Here is a 6,110-nt window from a genome sequence, read left to right on the forward strand (position 1 = left end):
ACATAGATAGGGCACATGGCTAATTTAACATGTGCCCAGGCTTTTTGTTTTTTTGTTTTTTTTTTTGAGATGGAGTCTCTCTCTGTCACCCAGAGGGGGGTACAGTGGTGCGATCTCGGCTCACTAGAACCTCCATCTCCCGGGTTCAAGCAATTCTCCTGCCTCAGCCTCCTGAGTAGAGGGAGTACAAGCACATGCCACTATGGCCAGCTGATTTTTTGTATTTTTATTAGAGATGGGGTTTCATCGTGTTAGCCAGAATGGTCTTGATCTCCTGACGTCATGATCCTCCTGACATCATGATCCACCTGCCTCAGCCTCCCAAAATTCTGGGATTACAGGCGTGAGCCCCTGCGCCCAACTGCATGTCCCCAGGCTTTATATAGAATCTAATGCTCCAAAATAAATTGAACAATTTTTGAAAGTTGAAGAAGCAGTTTATGACCTTAAAGCAAACCTAATATCTAACCTGTATAATTTAGACCAAATGTTTACATTTTGAAGATATTTTTATTTTACCAATAATGTTTAAAACTATCTTTATTTCCCAAAGATTACTTAAGTCACATGAACTAAATAAAAGATATTACACTTTTTACTTTTCTGACAAAATATTCTATTTGAGCTCTTATATTAAACCAATTAATTAAAGCTCTTTTATATTACACACACAACATACATAAATACATAGACAGAATAAGAAAGGAGTCATTCCCTAAGCTGGGAATTGAACCCTGAACCTGGGCTGCCATTGTGATGGTGGAGACCAAGAGAAAGTACTGCCACATGGTTACAAGGTGACATTCCCAAGGACATACAAGACAAGATAGAAACCTCATCCAGGTTTTTTTTTTTTTTTTTTTTTTCAGGGACTTGCAGCAAAGTTTGTAACTGACCAGTTTGCTGGGTCATCTTGAACAGTGGGCTTATGGGAGTACTAAGCCCACATTCTATCCTAAGGTACCACTCTTTTATGACAGAACAACACAAAAAAACACACAAAGCACACCATATTTATTATAGTTTAAGACTAGCCTCACAAATCCTTTTTCTCATTAATCAAAACTTTAAAGAGAAAATAAACACTGATTTTTGCCATTCATTCAACAGGTTTGCACAGAGAGAGAAAGTAAGGGGAAGGGAGAAAAGCATTGCTTACAGCAGAATGGGGGAAGTGAGGTGCTCAGAGAGGCCAGAGAAAGACCCACCCATTGCAGCTGGCACTGAATCAAAAGTTCAGGCAGCTGCTTGTCAGTCGAGAAGGGATCTTTTCCAGTACTCCCTTTGGCAATCAAGTTTCCCCTTTTATGGAGGAAAAAGTTCCCCATGTCCCATGATCCTTTACATGCCTAATTCTGTCACCCGCAGCTGTCACCAAAAAGTGCAAGGCAGATTAATACAAAGAGAATAGTGGTAAACATTCCTAGTGGCAAACCTGTTTTTAGCCAAAAGGGACTTTACTGACAGTGGCCTCTAACCCCTTACATCTTAGGAAGGACTCTAACCTTCCTAAGTTGGGCCTTGAACCCAAGTTCAGTCAAGCATCCTTACTTTTATTAAGAGGAGCCTTTTAACCTACTCTGTCTTAGGAGAGACTCTAACTCCCCTAAGTGGGCCTCTAACGCAATCCCATTCTTTACCCAGGTATATGTGCCCCACTTACCTAAAGTCAGCCAATCAATGCTGCAGTCTATTTCCTTTGGGTTGGGAGTCTCCTCAGTATTATCTCTTCATGGTCACTGGAAAGATGTTACAGGAAAGGGGTCCTGATCCAGACCACAAGAGAGGGTTCTTGGATCTCAGAGAAGAAAGAATTCAGGGTGAGTCTATAGAGTAAGTGAAAGCAAGTTTATTAGGAAAGTAAAGGAATAAAGAACGGCTACTCCATAGGCAGAGCAGCCATGAGGACGGCTGGTTGCCTGTTTTATGGTCATTTCTTGATTATATGCTAACCAAAGGGTCGATTATTCATGCCTCCTCTTTTTAGACCATATAGGGTAACTTCCTGATGTTGCCATGGCATTTGTAAACTGTCATGGCGCTGGTGGGAGTGTAGCAATGAGGACAACCAGAGGTCACTCTTGTCACCATCTTGGTTTTGGTGGCTTTTAGCTGACTTCTTTACTGCAACCTGTTTTATGAGCAAGATCTTTATGACCTGTATCTTGTGCCAACCTCCTATCTCATCCTGTGACTTAGAATGCCTTAACCATCTGGGAATGCAGCCCAGTAGGTCTCAGCCTCATTTGACATAGCCCTTATTTAAGATGGAGTTTCTCTGGTTCACACACCTCTGACAAAACCATGCACTTGATCTCTCAAGTTGCCTGCTTGGCCTTCTTCCAAGTGTACTTTACTTACTTTCATTCCTGCTTTAAAGATTTTGAATAAACTTTCATTCCTGCTCTAAAACTTGCCTTGTTCTCTCTTTCTGCCTTATGCTCCATTGGTCTAATTATTTCTTCTGAGGAGGCAAGAATTGAGGTTGCTGCAGACCTGTATGGATTCACTGCTAGAACAATACCAGATATATTTTATGCATGTGGAAAGATACATACTCTTATTTTGATGAATATTGTTTTCTGTGCATTGAAAGCTATTTGGATCAGAAGGCTCTTATTGAGATAATGCCCACGTATGTAGCACAAGGCTTCTTTGAAATCATTATTTTCTCATGTTTAGTTTCAGCTGTACAATACAATCTTTGTAGATCTTATCAACAAAAGTGATGAGTGAAGTTTGGCTCTTGATATAGAATAAGAGAGTTAAAGACACAGAGTCCTGCCATGTTCTGTGTCACAAATCTCTAAATCAGTTCCGATCTATATTTGTTGCCACCTCCCCTGGCATACAGCAGTAAAAACTGTGATCCTCTTTATCATTATCTTGGTTTTTTCTTTTGCTTGCATGGCTTGCATGGTTTCTAATGAGAATTCCACTGTAATTCTTATTCTGTTCCTCTATCAGTAAGATACCCTCCCTCCTTTTAATCATGTGACCTTGCTAAACTTACTAGTTCTAGTAGCTTTTTTGTTGATTCCTTCAGATTTTCTACAAGATCATTTTAATTTTCAAATTAAGGCAGTTTCTGCCTTTTTAATCTCTATACCTTTAATTTTTTTCCTTTACTTATTGCATTGGCTACAATTTAAATAGTGAACTGTAAACCAGTAGTAAAATTCAAAGGTTCTCCATAATCATCTGAACGGACTCTCTCCTTGGCTAGGGCACCCTGAAGTTTTACCTGAATGACTGTATCAGGCCATGGTGGGAAGTGGGGGTCGGACATGCCTCATTATACCTCTCTAGCATTAACATCAACACAGGCCTTAAGCCTGGTAAGAAACATTTACAGTCTATTCTCTCCAAAGCCTGCTACTTGGAGGCTTCATCTGTATGATAAACCTAGGTCCCCACGACACCCTAATGTAACCCAGACATTGCTTTCTACTGATAATAAGTCTTTCAACTAATTGCCATTCAAAATATGTTAAAATCTGCATATGACCTGGAAGCCCTCCTGCTTCGAGTTGCCCTGCCCTTCCAGATTGAACCAATGTAAATCTTACATGTATTGATTGATGTATTATATCTCCCTACAATGTATAAAAGCAAGCTGTAGCCCTACCACTTTGGGCATATGTCGTCAGGACCTCCTGAGGCTCTGTCACAGGCGCATCCTTAACCTTGGTAAAATAAACTTTCTAAATTGATTGACACTTGTTTCAGATACTTTTTGGTTTACAGAACAAAAGTGGTACAAACTAACATATTTGCCTTATTCCTGATTATGGATTCCAGATAAAAAATGATGCAATCATCGTTTCAATGATAAGTAATAAAAAGAAAAAAACATTAAAGACTTAAACGATAGACCTAAAACCATAAAAACCCTAGAAGAAAACCTAGGCAATACCATTCAGGACATAGGCATGGGCAAGGGCTTCATGTCTAAAACACCAAAAGCAATGGCAACAAAAGCCAAAATTGACAAATGGGATCTCATTAAACTAAAGAGCTTCTGCACAGTGAAAGAAACTACCATCAGAGTCAACAGACAACCTACAGAATGGGAGAAAATTTTTGGAATCTACTCATCTGACAAAGGGCTAATATCCAGAATCTACAATGAACTCAAATTTACAAGAAAAAAACAAACAACCCCATCAAAAAGTGGGCAAAGGATATGAACAGACACTTCTCAAAAGAAGACATTTATGCAGCCAAAAGACACATGAAAAAATGTTCATCATCACTGGCCATCAGAGAAATGCAAATCAAAACCACAATGAGATACCATCTCACACCAGTTAGAATGGCAATCATTAAAAAGTCAGGAAACAACAGGTGCTGGAGAGGATGTGGAGAAATAGGAACACTTTTACACTGTTGGTGGGACTGTAAACTAGTTCAACCATTGTGGAAGTCAGTGTGGCAATTCCTCAGGGTTCTAGAACTAGAATTACCATTTGACCCAGCCATCCCATTATTGGGTATATACCCAAAGGATTATAAATCATGCTGCTATAAAGACACATGCACACATATGTTTATTGCGGCACTATTCACAATAGCAAAGACTTGGAACCAATCCAAATGCCCAACAATGATAGACTGGATTAAGAAAATGTGGCATATATACACCATGGAATACTATGCAGCCATAAAAAATGATGAGTTCATGTCCTTTGTAGGGACATGGATGAAGCTGGAAACCATCATTCTCAGCAAACTATCACAAGGACAAAAAACCAAACACCACATGTTCGCACTCATAGGTGGGAATTGAACAATGAGATCACATGGACACAGGAAGGGGAACATCACACACCAGGGCCTGTCATGGGTCGGGGGGAGTGGGGAGGGATAGCATTAGGAGATATACCTAATGCTAAATGATGAGTTAATGGGTGCAGCACACCAACACGGCACATGTATACATATGTAACAAACCTGCACATTGGGCACATGTACCCTAAAACTTAAAGTATAATTAAAAAAAAAAGAAAAAAAGGAAAAAACATTCACTCATTCACTATTAAGTATAAGGTTAGCTCAGGGATTGATTTTGCAGATGCTCTGTATTAGAATAAGAAAGTTACTTTCTATTCATAGTTTTCTGAAAATTGTTTTCATTAAATCCTATTAAATCTTGTTAAGTGCATTGATTTGCATTTTTTGAGATGATCATATTATATCTTTATTTTATTAGTATGATACATAATATATATATATATACACATACACATATATATTTATAATTTAGTACAATTTAACTTAATTTCTTTTCTAGGGAATAGCCTCTTTTTTTTTTTTTTTTTTTTTTTTTTTTTGAGACAGAGTCTTGCTCTGTCGCCCAGGCTGGAGTGCAGTGGCGCTATCTAAGCTCACTGCAATCTCCGCCTCCCGGGTTCACGCCATTCTCCTGCCTCAGCCTCCCGAGTAGTTGGGACTACAGTTGCCCGCCACCACGCCTGGCTAATTTTTTTGTATTTTTAGTAGAGACGGGGTTTCGCCATGTTAGCCAGGATGGTCTTGATCTCCCGACCTCGTGATCCGCCCGCCTGGGCTTCTCAAAGTGCAGGGATTGCAGGCGTGAGCCACTGTGCCCGGCTGGTAATAGCATCTTAACTGATGTCTTGCTTCCATTCTTGTCCTCTCACAATATTAGATCTAATAATATCACTCTTTAATATACTCTGATGATTTGCTGCCTTAATTATAATAATATCCCAATTCTTTACCTACCCTAGAGGGCACCATATAATGAGATTCCTGCCTAAGTTCCTTACCTCTTTTTAATATTTTCTTTACCATGCTCCCTCTACTCCAGCTATTATGGACTTCTTGCCTTTAATAAAATATGCCAAGTTTATTCCTACCTCAGTAACATTTTACTCACTATTCTTGCCTGAAAGTCTTCTCTATCAAATTATCTATTGGTGGTTCTCTCACTTGTATTGTGCTCTTGTTCCATAAAAAACAATTCAGATTTTGTCACTCTTCTGTTTAAAATCTTACAATTGGTTGTTCATTACTAAAAGGATAAATTCAAAGCTCCAAATAGTATTTAGCACTTTAGAGATGATTTACCTGATAATCTTATTTAA

Source organism: Homo sapiens, chromosome 6, assembly GCF_000001405.40.
Source record: "Homo sapiens chromosome 6, GRCh38.p14 Primary Assembly".
Classification (NCBI taxonomy): Eukaryota; Metazoa; Chordata; class Mammalia; order Primates; family Hominidae; genus Homo; species Homo sapiens.